Source organism: Homo sapiens, chromosome 6 (genome assembly GCF_000001405.40).
Source record: "Homo sapiens chromosome 6, GRCh38.p14 Primary Assembly".
In the NCBI taxonomy this organism is placed as follows: Eukaryota; Metazoa; Chordata; class Mammalia; order Primates; family Hominidae; genus Homo; species Homo sapiens.
The window spans coordinates 125,728,861-125,748,510 of NC_000006.12; the positions used below are offsets into that span (position 1 = coordinate 125,728,861).

Below are 19,650 nucleotides of genomic sequence, written 5' to 3' on the forward strand. Positions count from 1 at the left end.
ATACTTCATACAGTTGTGTGGTTTGAACACTGCACACAGTACTTGTTTGGGAATGACTGGGGCTGAAATCTAGAAGGTCAGGACCCTTGGCAAAAAGCCAGGGCTGCTGGAAAAAGGAGGGGCCTTTGTCTTTACATGAAGGTGTTGTCAGCTCTCTAAGCTACTGCCTCTGGCAAGGATCCACTCAGCAAGGCATCTCATTGCAATTTAGTCACCAAAATAGGGCTTTGCTAATTTTTGGAAAGAAGCAGTATAAATTGCCAGAGGTACTTTTTCCTCTCTCTCCTCCTAAGAATTGAAATCTTTTTTATCTAATCTTGAAATCTCTAAGACTTTTTATGACTTATCATATATTCTTCCAAATCTCCTTTTATGATCTGTCTTTTTCTATTCCCACAAGGACTAGAAACTCAAAAATTTGACACTGAAAAGTTATTGGCTCCCTTTTTATAATACGTTCAGTTGGGTCATCTTTTCTCTGAGGCAATGAATGCAGAATGTGCTGATGGAATGGGTAAAAGGCCAGGACCATTAGGAAACACAGAGGGAAAAAATACTTCAGTTAATATTTTAAAATGTCATCCTGCCATTGTATGTGTATAAAACAGCTCTGGAAGGCTACATACTTGTCTCAATGATTAGCAGTAATTCACCTCTGTAGTGAAATTTGGAGATGAGACCTCTATTTTTTTGCTGTGTAAATGTCTGCGTTCAAATTGTTTTTATAAGAAGCTGTGTGACTTCTGCAACTTTTTTCTTGAAACATTTTTTTTTAACTGGAAAAAATGCTCCAATGTACTTTTAGTGATAGCACTCGGAATGATAACTTGTTTGTTCTCCCATTTCACTGCCTTTTTGGTGATACATCTCTCTATGGCAGAGTTAGACTATTTTTAAGTTCTTGCTCAGTGCTTATATAACATTAACGAGAGTTATAGAAATGGCAGGACTGATGGAAACAATATGGATTAAAATGTACATAATTTGCATAATTTAATATGACTTATCTCACAGGTGGAACCTCTAAGGGTTTCATATTTCCCACTTCCTTTTGTAAATGAGGAAAGGCTAAGACTTAACAAATAATAGTAAATTCCAGAGGGTGGCCCAAATCAACAGAGCCTGGAAAAACTAAGACAAAAGCTCCAATCCTCTCGATTCCAGTCCAGTGTTCTTTCTATTACAGGATACTCTTTCTCAGTTTGGGCTACTCCTCTGCCTTCATGAATATAGAGTGGTGAGCAGAGGTGACTGTAAGTGAATGAAGCTTAAGCTTCAAGTGCCTAATTTGCACACACCCTTTGCAAAGCAACAGGTTCACATGGACACATGACTTTTGTACAGTTTGCGAAAGTTATTTTTTTTTTAACTGCAACAGGTTAAGGCCACTCTACTCTCTCTTTCCACTCCAACTTCCCTACATACTAAGTGGCACTGGGTAGCTATGTACTTTTTGATGATATGACTAAGGAGTGGTTTATTTTGTTGGGGATACATATGATCTCAATATAGTGTCATATATTTTTAAGTGTACAGATACTTCCATTAAAGTTATTGCCAACTAACCCTGGGTAGGAACAGATTCCAAGAATACCCTTACTGCCCACTATGCCATCTCCCAGTCTCCTGACAAGAAGGTGTGGGCCAGTGGTGAATTCCTATGGTGTGCAGCTGTAACAGCAAAGTCATGGAGGAGAGGCAAGGTTAAACTGCGTGAAGCCAGTAGAAGCTAATCTGTAGAAAATTCTTCCAATCATCGTGTGTATAATTTTAACAGAGAATTTGGTTGTTGTGAAAATCTAATCAAAACAGATTTTTTTCCTTATCAGAAATAGTTTTGATAGTGCAGTATATATAATTATAAAATCTCAGATTTCTCATATATTTATGGTAATTGTGTGAAATAGAATTTATCTGAGTTACTAGGTTTGAAGGGAACAAATCCGTAACTATACCGAAAACAGAGTAGGCCTATAACAATTCAACAATATAATAAGAGGTTTTCCCAATTTGACAAGTCATAAAATTTCACAGATTACTAATAATGAGGCTAAAAATTTGTCAGCTATCAACAATTTTTTAAATATTAAATCATACTAGAGTAAGTTATATTTCCATTTTCTTTACAGAATATATAATTGATATTTAGCAAAGAGGCAATAAAAGAGTATACAGCCAAAAACAGTATAAAAATAGTATAGAGGTGTGGCAGATGGTTAATTAATGAAAAAATAAATTTTCTAGATTTTTTTTGGATTTGTAGCTTTGTGAGGTTTTATAAATTTGTTTTTGTGATTTTTTTTGTACCTACCTTTGCATTATTTTTTTTTGAAAGAGGGCCTCTCAAATTGCATAGGCTTTAGGATGCTATGAAGCCCAGATTCACCCTGATAGTGAGCATAATTTTAGTGTTCTTTTGACACTTGCCTATAGCAGCTTCATTAATCCCTGCAGTTTACAGACTTCCCTTCCCATTTCTCCTCCTCCCCCTCATCCTTGAATGCAATATACACAGAAACCTTTGCAAGGTACCTAGTCAGAATTAGTGGTTCTCTTTTCAATTTCCACAACAGCCAATATTTACCTCTGTCTATCATATTTATCAGAATCTGCCCTAGATTAACTTATCTATCAAATATATATTGAGGATCCATTGTTTGCTGGGGTCTGTGCTGAGTCTCAGGACCACTCTTAGACCAGGCCTTGCCTAGGACCTGTATTTCTAAATATTTTAAAAGGCCCCTCCATCCACATTCCTCCAAATGAGCTGAGGGTCTGCAAGGCCAAGGGCCCATGCTTATCCATGTCCCTGGTATCTTTTCCTAAGTCACATTCTGGGTACCTGTAACTCCAGAATTCCTTGCTAAAATCTATATTGAGTCTGCTTCCACATGGACCTCTTCCCCTGACCCTTCCTCCAGAGGGTTGATTTGCCTCTGGTACGCTCATTCCCAGGATGAAGAAGAGGCTATTCTTTAGGGTGGGAGAGAGAGAGAGTACAGAGCTCGGAGATGAAAGCTGGGCTATCCATGCACACGTGCAGGTGATCTCACAAAAGTAAAGGGGAAGAGAAAGGGGCAGGCTAGTGGCTCCCTTTGTACTCATGCCCTGAACCCTACAAATGTTAGTTATGGGCCTGCTAGAACTGTAGTCGCATTCCTATGTCTTGATTTTGTCTCATAGTTTCCTAAACTTTCTTTGTCGCTATAATTTTTTAGTGTTTCTGTAATTTTTTCATGGCATAGATGGGACAGAAGAAATGCCTAACCATTCTGTTTATTGAGTAATTAGGGCCAAACAACTTAGTAGAAGTAATTTACATGGTGTGACACATGTCGCTTTGTTTCCCTCAAAAATATAAAATATCCTTCAGTTACCCTGTGAGTTTGTCACAGAAATCTGGGGTGTCTCAATATGCAGGTTGAGAATCATGTGTTTATCCTAGATTGTGAGCTTCTTTGGAAAAGATGTGCATTATGGAAAATTATATTTTCCAAAGATGACCATATTTCTAGTCCTACATGCTTTTCTAGAACCTCACCACTATCTCAATGAGATACAAAGTCTAATTCCCCTCCTCTTGAATTAGGAGGGACTGGTGACTCATTTGTAATCAATAGGATGCAGCAGCACTGACACTGCATGACTGTCAAGGCTCCTAAAGGTCATAAAGGTGACATAACTTCTATACTGTTAGTTCAAACACTTGCTCAGAGCTGCCATGCTGTGAGGAGGCCCAAGCTAGTCAGCTCAGAGAGAGCATCTGGAGAGGCTCTGAAGCTACACAACTATAGAGTCCTCAGCTGCACAAGCCCCCTGCTGTTCCAGCTCCAACCACTGCTAGACTACAACCATGTGAGACACCCCAAGCTATAATCACTCATTGGAGCCCTTTCTGAATTCCTGTCTCCCAGAATCTGTAATCATACATAATAAAATGACTCTTGTTATTTCAAGTTTTGGGGTAATTTGTTAGGTAGCAATAGTAACTGGAAAACTCATTTTTTATTGCTTTGACAGAATAGTATTTAGAATATTTTGGAAGGTCAATAAATGTTCATCAAATTAAATTGAAAAATGAAAAAATTTCAGAGTATTAGTGATGAATCCAGATGATTATAAAGATGTTGAAAATATGAAAACTTAGGTTAAATGTATACTGACCCTAGAGCAAACCCTGCATATTAGTCTTTGAGTTTTTTAAGAGTTTTAATAAGTCCTTAGACAAGTCTGTTTCTTTGCCCTTTGCTTTTGTCTCTTTACAACAAAGGGCAGAAAAAAAATTCTAAATACCCATTTGCAAACTCACTATATCATTAAGTCACCATAGAGGTCACATATGTTGAATTATCAATACCAGTTAATTGAGGGTTTTAATTAGTCAGTTCAGATTAAGCAAGGTATTACTATAATTGGTTAATTCCAAAGACAGCCATCTGTTCCCTTTGTGAGTATTAATATTATGCCATATAAAGTCTAGCAGAGAGAAAAATTTGTCAAGTAGAAATTATCTCACCATTAGCAAAAGGTAGATCCCTAGGAAGTAAAAGGAAGGGGTGGGGAAGCAAACTGACCAAGATTGGAAAAAAGGAAAAAAGAAAGCCTATGAAGAAAGGAGACTGTCAAATTATTTGCTACGTTAAGAGAATCAAACTGAATTTAACCTTGGACATCTGTTTGTGCCTGGCATTGTTTTTCAGTGGAGTGGAGGGAGGTAATTAAAATGCCATGTAGCTACTTGCCTTGTATGCATTGCTAAGTATAATTCAAACTCTTATGAATCTGCCCTCTCAAAGAAATAGCTGATTATAGAAACAGAACAAAACCCCTTTGATCCCTCTTGCGATACAACTAGGTCATGAGAAGCAGAATTCCAAATATATTCTCAGTTTTGGATGACTCTTCACGGAAGGTTTAACTTTGGGAGGTTTCAAAATGAACAATGAGGGAAACCAAGGCAGAATATAAAGCAATAAAGACTTGTTGGCATGAAAAAACAACTCACCAAAGGTAATCTGAATGGACTTTTGTTTACATGGTTATCTTTTTTCTAACCTCCATTGTAATGGGTTTTTTTCCTAACAAACAGTGCTTACAGGGTACAATGATAAATATCAGGTGTGTGAAACATGGATGAATTGAATGTGGCATGCAAAAGCCCATAATATCTTGGATACTTGTGATAATCAAAAAATGGACAACATTTATGAGTTTCTTATAAACTTTACCAGTTTTTCCAGTGGCTTTGTCATCTAAACTACACAAATGCGTCTTTGTCTTCTAGTCAGAGAAGAACTTTTGTGCTTTTGGAATGAATTGTATCTCCTTCTAAAAGCAAAAACTTAATCAAAATATTTTGTGAAGAATCTAGTATTTTAATATTTTCAGATAAAATAATAAGATCAAGATAAGGCTACATATTGGTTAAGATTTTTTCCCCTTTACAACCAAAAATAAACTAGTTATAAAACAAAAGGGACTTTCTCACATACCACTGAAGTTCAGAGGTAGGACTGGCTTCGGGGGCAGCTCAGTCAGGGACCTGGCTCTGTTTCTCTGTGGTTTTCTAGGTTTTGCCCTTCTCCATATGTCACCCTCAGGTTTCCCTCCTGTTTCCAAAATGTGTCTCCCACGAAAGTGGGTCTCATGTATTCTCATTCACATCTCTTAATTCTCTCACTGATTGAACTCCTCCTAAACCACCCTAATGGCCTAGGAACTGACACACATACATACATAAGCCTATAGTAAGTGACGGAGGAATGTTCTGATTGGTTGGGTAATATAAATTCAGCATCCACCTTGGACTAGAGTCCACGCAATCTCACCCAAACTGAGGGCTGCTACATGGAGGGGTGGCTCTTCAAAGGAAAATCTGAATACTGCAAGGAAGGAAGGAAAGTGGGTAATGGATGCTGGGAAGATAATTAACGTCTACTACAGGTAGTTCCTATCAATTATTACAGCAGCTCCTATATTTTCTGGGCAAGTGTAACTATGAAATAAGACTTTTCTTGGGAAGAAAAAAAAAGAATTCTTCCATTCTGAATTATGCAAAGATTTTTAAAATGCAGAAATCATCTTTATCAGAAACAAGTCAAGGAATCAAATGAGCAAGGATTTCAACCAAGGAAAATGGCTCATGATAGTAATTCCAATTCATTTAACAAATATCAATGGAATGCTGACATGTACCAGGTACTATGCTAAGTTCTTGCCCAGGTTGGAGTGCAGTGTCTACTCACAGGCACGATCATGGTACACTATAACCCTGAACTCTTGGGCCTAAGCATTCCTCCTACTTCAGCCTTTTTATTATTTTTCATATTAATTTTACATTTAAAAATGCCTATCAAAACGCAAAACAATTAATTTGTTTTCCCACATTAAAGATTAATCAAAGACATATAAATTATAAGAAATCCTAAAAGGTAAAAAATAACCAGTGCTGAAACATTAAAAAGAGTTGGCATTTTTAGTGGTGTATTCAGCATCATTGTGATATAAATAGATATATTATTTATGGTAGTCTAAAAAGCATTATTAAAGATTTAAATAAATGTGTGTAATTTCTTTTAGACATTTTGAAGTAACGGCTTTTTTCCCCAAAAATATCCATAACTACCATTTTGAATCACTAATGATGCAAAACTATGATCAAAATAAAACAAAAAAAATTCAGACACATATATACTACATATTATATGTAACAACGATAGTATCATATAAATCTTAGACACTATTCCTACAAACACTGAGGCTCTATTCTCCACTAAATCATTTCCTGGTGGTAAGATATATTCTGATGATAAACCGTCAAGTTTCTTATTCACCATGTAGCACAGGAATCAGACTGAGCTCAATTTGGGGTTGTCTCTTCATCAGATGATACTGAGTAACTTAGCCCCAGACGTCAGGGTGCCACTGAGTATGCAGTATGCTGACTTAATCATAAAAATTAACACCTTTAGTATTCAAGCAGCTCATATCACTCACAAATTTCTCTTTAACAAAGAAAGGCATGCATTTCATACACGGGTAGGAAATCTAGCAGAAGTATACATAGGACCAGCCAGCGCCACACTGCTGACTTTTAATCAGCAATGAATACATGCCGAGCAGCCACTTCCCATTTTTCCTATTTCCATAACGCCCCCATATGCCAACCTGTGTTCCGATGATCACTTTTACTCAACACTTCACCTCCCACAAAGCAATAGTGTGCAAGGTTTATATAATTAATGTTTGTGCAGGGCTATTAAAGCCTTGTCTGAAAGATGCCTTTGAAGAGGAAAGGACTGTTGATACTATGATGTCCTGGATTTGTTATCCTTATCAAGACTGTTTCTATGAGGAAAAGCTACAGCAATGATAGATGGAACCACTTTTATTCAGCACAGTTACAGGTGGCAAAACACTGCTGCAGGACTCAGGCAAGAATGTGGCCCAGGGCAACATCAACATATGTCCTATCAATCACTAGGTACCATACTTTATAGACCAGAGATAATGTTAATTCTATCCTGCTTACAGTATGCTCTGTACTAGAAAAGTTTGAGGTGCCTTGCAACCACCATAATTTAGTGAAGCATGAAATGAAAGCTACACATAGGAAAGTTAAGACATTATCTTTATTCAGCCATTAATCCAAGCAGGGTTGACATTTGGTGCTAGAAAATCTTTCCTCTATACTACTGTTGTTATCATTTAGGAAAGAAAGAAAAAGGAAATTGATCTTCATTGCATATATACAATGAACTATATACTGCCAGGAGTTTCACATTTAACTTATTTGATCTTTAAAACAACTCAGTGAGGTATATTTTTTAGTTGAGGAAACCAAGACTCAGAGAGAAAAATTAATATGGCTTAGATAACATAGGCTACTTAGTGACAGGGCCATGAATTTAACCCAGGTCTCTGATTCCAAAACCAATGCTTTTCCCACTATATATACAAAGCAGATGAACTAATTTAACCCATCTAAGTTTCTTTCTTCTAGGATTTTATCTTTACCTTTAAAAAGAACAGAAGTTCTATAACTCATATTTCCAAATAAATTATTCTAGAACTATCCATGAAGCTGTCTCATGCCATGCCAACCCTCATTGCTCTTTCCCATCCCTGATCTGTGGACTGCAATATAGAACTGAGCATTTGGTTACCTACAGGAAGATTTCATCTTAAAATAGTACCTTATTTATACCTACCCACTGCCAATCACACATGCAAACCACCTCCCATTTCCACCATCACTGAGGTCACTAATGTCAGTATTATGGTAGGAATTCCAAAATAAAATAAAATCAATGGATTCGTTAGTGAAAATAAAAACAATTTCTGGAAAAAAAAAAACAGGAATGCCTCAAGATAGCATGTATGGGCAGCCGATGCAAGAAGCTGGCCCTCAATTCAAAAATATGTTACCCATGTGTAGACTAAAATTTTAAAAGATACTTTATTATACTATTGGAATTCTACAAAATAGAAAATAATTTAAATTCGCAAACATCTTTTTCCTAAAATACACATTTCACCAAGAGGGCTAAGAGGATGTAACATTCACAACCTAGGGACAATTCGGTCAGATTGTTTCTTCCCAATACCTCTATGAGATCAATTGCACTGAAGGAATGCCTATTTTTACTAGAAGAACGAAGGTGGAAGTCAATAATTTTGAAGCATGGGGTAGCTTCAGAGGAGGAGAGGTTCGGGGATCGGGTACAAGACTTGGCTTGGGCCAGGATAAAAATACTCAGTATGAAAAACCTGAGTAGCATTACTAGATTGTAATAGAGATAGAAACGGACATGAAAGGATGTTAAGAAGAAATTAGGGGATTTGGGAGAGTTTCAACAAAATTATTCTAAAGTTGTTCCAAAAGTATAAATACAAGGAATGTCCTTAACAGCGGAATAGACTAACAAAATGTGGTATATATATATACAATGGAATATTTTTCAGCCACAAAAATAAATGAAGTTCTGATACATGCTACAGCATGGATGAATCTTGGAAACATTATGCTAAATGAAAAAAGCCAGACCAAAAAAGGACAAATATCGTATGGTTCTACTTCTGTGAAATATCTAGAATTGGCAAATTGGGAGAGACAGAAAGTAGACTACAGGTTACCAGGGGCTTGACAGAATGAATAACGGGAAGTTACTGCTTAATGGGTACAGAGTTTCTGTTTGGGGGCGACAAAAAAATCTTAGAAATAGATAGTAGTGGTGGTTGTAGAATATTGTGAGTATAATTAATGCCATTGAATTGTACATTCAAAAAATGGTCAAAATAGCAAATGTATATATATTATACCACAATAAAAATATTTTCTAATGCAAGAGACAAGTCAAGGCAAAATTTTAAAAGTAAGAGGAATGAAGATAGCCCTTGCCTTACTATTAAAATACATTGTTTTAAAATTACAATAATTCAAACAGATGCTGACACAGATACAGAGAAACAAATGAATGGAATTAAATAGTAGGTCTTTAAGCAGACCCAGTTCTCCACATGAATTTGGTATGTAATGAAGCAGACATTTAAGTCAGTGAAAAAGTCATGCATGGGCATCAACAGTTGATAATGACACAACCAGCCATTTGAAGGAGCAGCTGCTTCATGAGGATAGGAATTCTGCCTGTGTCATGCACCAATTATTCCCCAGGCAAAAGCATGATACCTGGTACATTGTACACATGCAGTTAATGTTTTCTTGAATTAATGGACTAAAAATAACTCTTATATCACAAAATATACCAAAGTAAATTCTAAAGTTTTTTTAAGTGGGGAAAAATATTAAAACCTGATAAACTTGGGGGTGGGGGGAGGGGGAGTGGATAACATTAGGAGATATACCTAATGTAAATGACGAGTTAACGGGTGCAGCACACCAACATGCCACATGTATACATATGTAACAAACCTGCACGTTGTGCATATGTACCCTAGAACTTGAAGTATAATTTAAAAAAACAGATAAACTTCATAAATTAGAATATAAAAATTTCAACACCTGCATATCAAAAAGTTCATAAATAAGATTTTTTAAAGAGCAAACTGAAATAAATACATATGTAAATTTGTGATATATGAGGCAAACATTAAGTGCCTTGATTTAAAATGACCACCTTTAACTCACTAATAACAAGACAATTATTTCAGAAACATTAAGTATACTAATAGTCAAAAAAGTATAAATAGCCAATAAAAACTATGAAAACAATCTCTAACATCATTAATAGTAAGAAAAAACTAAAATTAAAATGATAGATCCTGTTTCACCTATCAGGCTGGCAACTATCGAACTATCGAGTATTGATGACAATTCAGAGAACTGAGTACTCTCACTTTGCTGGCAGAGATATAAGTTAGTCAACTGTTATGAAAGGTAGTTTGGCAGAAAATATCAAAAAGTGTTTAAAATATGAACACCATTTGGTCACCTGACTATTTCTAATAATTTAGACTTAAAATAATCTAAAACATGTATACTTTTTTAACCTGTAAGATTTCTTCAGCACAATACATTTCTTCGGTCCACAATAGAAAAAATGTAACCATTTAAATGCCCAATAATAACAACTAGTTAAGTAAATGTATGATACATTCATACCAAGATTTACTATATTATCAGGGGAGAAAATTATGTTATAAAAGAATATTTAATGAGATGGAATGTCCATCTCATTAAATGTCCAAGCAGATTACAAAACAGTATGAGGCAAAATGATCTCATATTTTGTGAAAAGGAAAAAAAATCATAAAAGCTGGAAGGAAAATCAATGAAATATTAACAGTAACTGTCTCTGGTTATCAATTAAGTGGCAATTTAAATGTTCTTATTACTGCTAACATGATTTACTAATTTTTCTGCATTTAACATGTATTGATATTATGATAGAAAAGCAATAAAAGATGCTTTTAATGAGGAAACCAAAAATAATAGGCAACTTTGTCCTTTGTTCTTGGGAGTCAGGATTAATCAGCTATATCGCCAGGCATGGTGGCTCACACCTGTAATCCCAGCACTTTGGGAGGCCAAGGCAGGCGGATCACCTGAGGTCAGGAATTCGAGACCAGCCTGGCTAACATGTTGAAACCCCGTTTCTACTAAAAATACAAAATTAGCCCTGCGTGGTGGCATGTGCCTGTAATCCCAGCTACTTGGGAGGCTGAGGCAGGAGAATCACTTGAACCTGGGAGGCGGAGGGTGCAGTGACCCAAGATCATGACATTGCACTCCAGCTTGGGCAACAAGGGCAAAACTCCATCTCAAAAAAAAAAAAAAAAAAAGGTCAGCTATATCTGTCTCTTTCCATATGTCAAACTAGTTTTAAAGCATTATTCTATTTGAGCTTTACTCTATTGTTAGGTATCATTAACCTCTTGGATGAGGTCTAGATTTCAGAAAAAGTAGCACACTCAAGGTCATGCAGCTAGTGACAGCTGAATATGACCGGCCCCCGTGGTATCTGATTCCAAAGCGCGTTTCTTTCTTTATTATTTCCATAGGTTTCTGGGGAACAGATGGTGTTTGGTCACATGAATAAGTTCTTCAGTGGTGATTTCTGAGATTTTGGTGTCACGTCACCTGAGCAATATATACTTTACCCAATGTGTAGCATTTTCCTGGGGTTTATTGTGGAGTAGTTAAGCGTTATGAGAATAGACCCAAAAAACTAACTGCCACATATCACATAGTTTCTGTGAATAAATGTTTGGCATGCTAAACACCACACTTATAAATGGCCATTGGGAAGCAATTTTTTCTTAACCTATGTGTTGCTTCTGACTGTTTACACTGTTTATGTCTGTGTCACATGCATTATTATTCTTGGAGGCAATATCCAGTAATGGGTAGGAGCACTGGCTCATAGTTAGATTCCCTTGGTGGAACCTGACTCTACCCTTTAATACCAATGAACTACTTACCTTCACAGGGTCTGATTCGTCACCAGTAAAATAAAGGTAATGACTGTACCTACCTTAGGTTGTTCTAGTGAAGATTAAATAAATTAATCTACGTGGTGCTTTGTGGATTTAAAAAGTGTCAGACACATAGCAAGCACTAGATAAAGGGGATCTATGATGATCATTATTAATGTATTCGCTAGATATTAAATCCCCCCAAGGGCAATAATCGCATGTTGTATTGCGTTTGAATTCCCTAAAGAGCTCAATAAATGGTTGATCAATGGATAAAGCTGGAAGTAAGGTAATTTCTGACAAGAATTTCTCAGTGCTGCAAAATACCCTCTCTAATTCAACGAGAATGCTCCCTGATTAACTTGTATTGACTAATAGAGGCCTTATTTTTATCTTATTTTTTCTCATCTATGAAAGGGGTACTTAAAATTACCATTTAAGGCTGTCTTGCATTTCCTTATTAAACATCACTTTAATTATTGATTGAATATTCAATATTTAAATGCAAGTTACCTCCATTTCAACAAGGCCTTTCAGGGAAGGGCGTAACTTTATGTGACTAAAAATAGTTAAATGACCCCTGAGTTTTAAAATCCTTAAACATTTATTTATGGCACCCTGTAGAAAGATAACAGTAACCTAGTTCTTTCAATAAGAAAGTAGCAGGAAAGAATCATGGCTCAATCTTTCACTGAAAGTATTTAATCTGAGTAAGTCCCAGATACCCAGCAGTGTTAATGTACTATGTGTTACTTTGAAGTCAGTGAAACTGAAAATCTCACTTTAGAAAGTTCTCTTAATCACTGAGAATATAACCATGTTCTGATTTTAATTATGACATGGCGGATTTTAAAATAAATCTGTAAAAGCTGATGTGCAAGTCCTGGCATAATTATTTGACTACTCCACCAAGTAGGCAGTGTACATGTTTTTTTTTTTTTCATATAAATTTGGTCATATTAAATAAACCCAAGCAACCCAATTAAAAGCAATGAGCTTCCCAAGTGCTGAGCCAACAGTCCTACCTAACAATGCTATTGTAATGGCCAAATGGCTTGCACTGAGAAACAAAAAATATCAAAAATTCCATTTACCAATGCAAATTGTCCTGGAATTTTTCTGTTACTGTAATGTTTTCAATTTGATTTAGTGACAACTAGAAAAAGAAAGAAACTTGGCTAGATTGAACAAGCATATCTAATGAATTAATAGCTGTGAACCTGTCACTTCTCTTAAAAACCTCCGGTGGCTCTCAAATAACTTCAAGAAGATACCCTGCTCAGAACGCAAGCTCCTCCATGATTTGCCTATAGCCTAATTCATTTTCCCAAGACAACTCTCTCCTGCTCTTTCCTTCCATTCCCCTCATTCCAACTAAGAATAATCCATCTTTCCCTAAGAATCACATGCACTCTTCAGCTTCTGTGTCTCTTTGTAAATGCTGGTCCCTCTCCAAGAAAGTCTACTTACAATTGTAGCTATTTGGTATATCCTTCAAGGCCCTGCTCAAGGCCACTTTTCCCCTTAACCCCATAATTGCACCAAAGAACAGATTAGATGTTAGATACCTATAAAGTTTAAGAACAATAGAAAGATATTCCAATAAATGTAATATCTAAGTAAAAATAGTGTGTTTGTTATATAAATGGAGTTTGGCAACAAAAATCCTTGGGCCACTCCCGGCCCTCCAACAGGATTGCTGCCTCTAATTCTATACAAAAAGTTTGGAGCTATCACTGCTGAACTCTCCTTTAAAAAGGAACCTTCTCTCTCTTTGTGCCGATGGCATGTAGTCTGCTGTTTACTTTGGCCTTGAACACATCTTATCTTGTCTAACAGTTGTTTGTTTAGACTCCCGTATTATTTTCCCTGCTATTTCCTGAGCAGGAATTAAATCTTGCTCACCAGGTACCACCACACTACTTAGCAGACAGTATTGCTCAACGTAGGTAGGTGTTCAATATTTTAGTGGCATGGAAATGAGAATGAATGAATGAAGAGAGGTACAGTCTGAAAAATCAAGCCATGATTAATGAAAATTAGTCTTATCACTTTCAAGTGCACACACTAACAGTTTGTCAGTTATCTCTGTCCATAGCTCTTTGGTTTCATTTTCTGATCATTTCTCCCACAGTTCTGTTTAAGTAGTCCCCACTATGATGTTCCTATTAGTTCTCAAACTACATTTTTGAATAACAACAAAGTGTTCATTATCAAATTAAAGAATGGACATTCTTTTTCCAATTCACATTGCACAGAAATAAATTTATGATTAAAACGTTAAAATTTGAATTGAGCCTTTTTCATCTCAACTAGAATCTATGTTCACAAGTATACTATCTAATTTAGCAATATTTCATGGGTCCATGCAAAGAGGACATGATTTTTCAGGTGTACTACCTGAACATCAGAGAAAATCATTCTCCCAACCCTTTAGTATAAAAATTTTATTTCCATCACACCAAGAGGTTTAAAATACTAGTCTGTTTTTCTAAAGGTCTACATTTTAAAAACTGCATAAAGAAAGTTATTTAAAACACAGACAATAGAATCGACAAAACATAAAATAAACTGAAATAAAGTGAATGCAATTTTCAAAAATAGAGAAAATATGCAAATACATATAATATATAAACTCTGTTTTGCAAATGGTGGTTTAATTACAAAATGCAGCATTTTCCTCTCTGACTTGAACTACTGTCTTCTGACAGATATTACCCTAGTCCTTCATATACTAACAAGTCATGTTAATTATAAAACCGTTCATTATTTTCTGCCTTTTACATCTATAGACAGACAGACAAGTATATACCCACATACATCATTTATATTTGTCTTCTATTTTCTATTCATATTTTGTCTTCTATTTTCAGGCTTTATTAATGTTCCCATTACAACTGTTATTCTAGCAAAATCCTGCTAGCCAGCCTTGACAAGTAAATCCTGCAGCGCTGTGAGTTTTGATACATGATTCAATAATGACCTAGGATTCTCAGATTAAAAGTGCTGTGGAAATGTACAGTGTCCCTTTCTTCCATATTCAAGGCACAGTACACTGCCCTTCTCCACTGTGCAGTTGAGCATGGTTGTTCTCTGCTAAGCAGCATGACATTTGGTTTCCAAAGAGATTGTGTTGCCCTAATGAATACTGCAATTCCTCAAGAAACTATTCGTTTCTTTGAAGTATTCATGTCCCAGAAATGTAAGGAGCTACTATTCAAAACCAAAATCGGTCTCTAAAAATTTTCAGTCCAATATTCTCAATATACTAATATATTATTAAATTATTTTGAAGGCTAAATCCAGAAAAATGTAGTCAAATTCTTCTCTAGTAGAATCAATCCAGTCCCGTCTAGGGAAAAAAACTGCTATGTTTCTGTTTCTTGTAAAGTATATATTTCAATAAGTTTGTAAAATATGGAGGTCTAAAAATAGCCTGTATTTTTTTCCACAGTAAATCTAAAATTAGCAATTCCTTATTTCCAGTCTATGAAGGTTTTTTCCCCAGAAAGTCACCTGCCAATTTTAAAATAATCAGATAAGGGCAAAAATGTGCACACATCTAATAAAAATATTTCAATAAAAGTGTTGAGAAAATATAGCTGTTATTTGTAGTCTAGTGGAAAAGACATTTAGCCTTAAATATTTCCACAGCATTTGATATTTCAGAAACCTGTAGAGCCTCTTCTTTTCTTTCACTTTTATCAAATAATGCCAAACAAGCAGATCCAGGAATCTTTAATTTTTTCTTCTGACACTGAAAGAAGAAACTTTCTTACAGAGAATCCATATTTTTGGAACTCTGTGAGACAGTGGTTTTATTAATGTCAATTAATCTTGACAGCTTAGTAGATGGTTTATACAGCTATTAGAAGATATACTATTGTCTTCATTTATGCATAATGTAAATGCTATTATTCATGTTATAATTAACAGAGACACATGAGAATTTTAGACAAAATAATTATTTTAAATAATTAAATTATTTGAAGTCCATGAACAAGGCAAGCATGAAGTTCTTTTAGAATTCAGTGACTGGGTAATAACTTTCTTTTTTGAAAAACAGTGTGCTTTCTCTTTTCTCATTATGAAAGTTAGAAAACTCACTGTGCTTCTCTTCTGACTTGGCCACCAGGAAGTTCCATGTTGAACTAGGTCTTATTCACAGTTAAGTATTCCTTCCCATTTGAAGGCATATTCTCTTCATCTTTTCATAGCTTTTTAATGCACGGTTGCTTACTTCTATTTTATTATTCCAATGAGTGTAAATTCTACATATACAAGTAAAGAAGCAGAGAGTTCATTAATTTTAACAAGAAATTAATCTGAAACCATTTATTGTACCCCTACTGTGTGCTGGGCATTTTTCTAGGGGATGGGAATGTAGTTTATTAAAAGAATATTTTCATAAGAGAAGTGAATATGTTTCATTGTATCCTTAAGAGAGGGGGGAAATCTGCCAATCAAACCAACTTCAAGAAAATGGAAATTTAAAAGAACTTCCTTAAAGGCAAAGCCTGCCAACATCAATTTAACTCCCACAAAAAGTTAAGCTAATACACTGAGTGTTCTCACTGTTGCTTACTGGCACACGGAAAACTGGTTACTTGCTATACACCCCTCTTCTCAAGGGTCCTGCAATAAAACTAGTCTTTATCCTGAGGCATGCTAAGCACTAACAACACCATAAAATAAAAGCTTTTAAATAAATTGCCCCTCAACAACAGTTTTAAAGATCAGTTTAAACATTCTAACTTTCGAGAGAGAGCTTTGGGTCATAGATTTCCTACCTTGAAGCTTCTGCTGTAACAAGTAAGTCGCAATTACTGGGGCAAGCCAAGAAATACAATGCATTTTGTGTGGCTGACTGGGCAAGAAAAATTAACTAGTAAAGCAGCTCCCTTTCAGGGATGACTTCAAGGTTGGTGGGCCTAAATTTGCACTTGCTTTCAGCTTTGTTTTGCTTTACTGGCTTGCAAATATGTGTCACACAGTGACCCTAGGTTGGCCTGCCTGCTGCCAGCCTGATGTTGGAAAAGGTATTGAAATGTACAAGGATCTTGCCCTTGGCCTCCACTCCTAGGGCGCAGCATTCTCACACATTTTAAGGCGTTACCAGCTCACAAAAGCCTTGTAGTCAGGGAAGGCAGCCCAACAAGGCTGCCCACAGATACACACGTGTTTGTCACCTGCCCCAGCAATTGCAAATAGAATAGCTCTTCTCAAGGCAACCTGTTTGTCCTCCCTTTGAAAGAGAAGGCTGTGTAAATAATTATATTTCAGATGTGGCAAAATATTGGAATTTTCAATTTGGACTATGCTCTTAGGCATCTCAGACTAACACAAAGTTTTCTAATTAACAGAGATGCCCTTATTTCACTGAGAAACCAAGCTAAAACTTTTAAATGGTGTCACATCTTGGTGACTTTCTAAGCCCATCAAATACCTGAGTGGCCAACGTTTTTTACGTAGCTGCGAGCAGCATCTCAAAGGATTTAGAGAAGCAACAAATAACAAAGTGTGACAGTCGATCTTGGAAAACCAGAGGGCTCTAATGAAGCAAAAAGTAGATGAAGAGGCATAAAAAAAATCCAGGTTCGTTCCAAAAAAGTTTTACAATTATAGCAAAGCAATCATTTCATCGGTTTGTGCAACAAAATTCAAAATCTGCGGGGCGAGATAATACTTGGCCAACATCGCCAAATTTATCAATACGGGTGTAAAAACTGTAACTTTTTATTAAATGGGTGTGAAAAGAGTCGGGGAGGAGGAACAGGACCACTAAATCTGGTATTTCCAGATCTCTGCATTCAACATCTCACTCCCACGCCATTAAGTTAAATAACATTTAGCACAAAACACAGGCTAGACCACCAATTTCGGGAGGGCGTCTGAGTCTTCCCTTCTCCATTCCCTTTAGATCGGCCGTCCTGGCCTTTCTTTCCTAACGGCATCTCCTTTCTAATAAAGTCCCTCGTATCTTTTGGTGTAATTAACTCATGGTACAAATCCTTCAAAAAGAAAGGAAAGAACTGCGGTTTGCTCTACGCGCGGACATCTTTTCTTCCTAAGCCTTCCCTTTCGCTGAAAAGGTTGTCGCAGAAGGGCGGGGAGGCTTGAAATCCCGCCGTTCCCTCATTCTTTCTCTTTTCTTTCTCTCCACATAACGCCTCCCCTACACCTCCCCACCTCCAATCCACTACCGTATTTAAGTCGGCGGGGGCGCTTTAAAGGGTTTCCTGTGTCTGTTTCTGTCTCTCTGACCCGAAACGCACTTTCGGTTATAGACAGACAAGGCGCTCAACCAAGGGACAGGCAAATGGAATAAACAGCTGAGGAGAATAAACGACCTAATGGGGAAATCTCGTGCTGCCTAATTGCTATTGTGTTTTGCAGATAAATAAGCATATTATTTTGATAGCGTTCAAAACCCTGAGCTCTCTTGCCCTATGCATTCTTAACAGACTTCTATGGCGCTTACTATATACCAGGCGCTGTTTTAAATGCTTTTAAAATACCACCTTCTTTGCTTAAAAAATATTTTTAACAGATTTAAAATTCCGTGTGTGCTTTCGAACTTCCCTGCTATACTCTTCTTTATACATAGTACAGCAGTTGTCTTCAAAGACAAATTGAAAAAAAACTTTAACCAGTTGCTACTTAATTGCCAGCAAATCGTTTCCCTCTGCAATTTTTCGCAATCATAATTAAATACACTAGTATAGTGGCAAAGAACTGTTAGATTTTTTTTTTTCAGTGATGATCTCAGGTTTTGCCTCAGGCGTTTGGACGCGCCCGCTAATTGCCCGTGTGGCAAACATGAGTTGCACCTGCAGGCATTTGAATTCAGAAAAACGTGCAGCCCTCACGGAAAGTTGTGACGGTCGAGCTTGAGCCTGGCGGGCCGCGGAGCGTTCACCTGCGGCCGGGAGGTACTGGCCCAGGGCGCTCGGGGCGGGAGGTGGCAGGCGACCGGCGCGCGTCAGGCTCGTCACCCGCTGGATTGCGGGGCCGGAGCGGGGACGGGGTCTGGGTCCTGGCCCGCCCTCGTGCAGCCGATCGGAGGCCCCGAACCCCGCGCCGACCCAGCCATCCGCCCTGAGGCCGACAGGGGAGCTGGGGTTCACCGACCCCCGCGGCCCCGCCGTCGGGCGCGGACCCCATCCAGCCCCACCTGGCCCCGCCGAGTGTGTGCTTTGCCTGGGGTTAAGTTTCAGAAGCCAAGATGGAACGATTCGGGTTTCTATTCACAAGGTTATTGAAGGCATGGCGGTGGGGACCGCGCAAAAGAGATGAGAGTGTGGGGGGAAAGGGGTTTCTGTTCTAATAAGGGCTTAGCACGCTGGCCGCAGGTCCTCCGCGCCGACCGGGCTCCTTCCCGCTCTCCCCCGGGCCAAACCCCGCCAGGGTCCCGTCTTTCCCAGTCGCGTCCTTTCCTCTTCTCCCCGCCCCGCGCCGGGCTTGTGTGGACAGAGAACGGAGTGTCAAAGGGACGCCCTGGGCCGATCCCCAGGAAGCTATGAATCCCTCCGTGACGGAGGGGTCTGGGGATCGATAGACGGCCCTTTCTCAGAGGCTCTCTCCACTACTGACCAAGCGGCCCTGCCAACGTGTGGTTTCCGGCTGGACCCCAACCCAGCCGCCGCCAGTCTCCCGGCGCCCCTGGCTGGGTCTCGCTCAGTCCCTGCCCTCGCAGACGCACAGCGGGGTGGCCAG

The 19,650-nt window shown here is 37.7% G+C and overlaps 1 long non-coding RNA gene across 11 annotated transcripts in view, besides 2 other annotated features; it reads right to left on the reverse strand.

The window, feature by feature from the left end:
- The window catches only part of HEY2-AS1 (HEY2 antisense RNA 1), a 171,898-nt gene that overhangs the window by 151,333 nt on the left and 915 nt on the right, over positions 1-19,650 (reverse strand). For 5 of the 11 annotated variants that reach the window (NR_183500.1, NR_183498.1, NR_183499.1 and 2 more), the window contains exons 1-2: positions 16,725-16,762; positions 16,042-16,205 (exon numbers count right to left, since the gene is read on the reverse strand). The exons of 5 other annotated variants lie outside the window; for them this stretch is intronic. This is a non-coding gene — a long non-coding RNA (HEY2 antisense RNA 1). Of the gene's footprint in view, positions 1-16,041; positions 16,206-16,724; positions 16,763-19,650 lie in introns of those variants that run through there. One more of the 11 variants, NR_183494.1, reaches the window with a different exon arrangement.
- Positions 16,489-17,156: an enhancer, noted in NCBI's record as "NANOG-H3K27ac-H3K4me1 hESC enhancer chr6:126066495-126067162 (GRCh37/hg19 assembly coordinates)". NCBI's record gives its function as "activates a minimal SCP1, AML or CMV promoter by ChIP-STARR-seq in naive H9 embryonic stem cells {active_cell/tissue: H9 hESC(naive)}" and the evidence as "EXISTENCE:reporter gene assay evidence [ECO:0000049][PMID:30033119]".
- Positions 18,927-19,106: a silencer, noted in NCBI's record as "silent region_17518". NCBI's record gives its function as "represses an Ori minimal core promoter by ATAC-STARR-seq in GM12878 lymphoblastoid cells {active_cell/tissue: GM12878}" and the evidence as "EXISTENCE:reporter gene assay evidence [ECO:0000049][PMID:35858748]".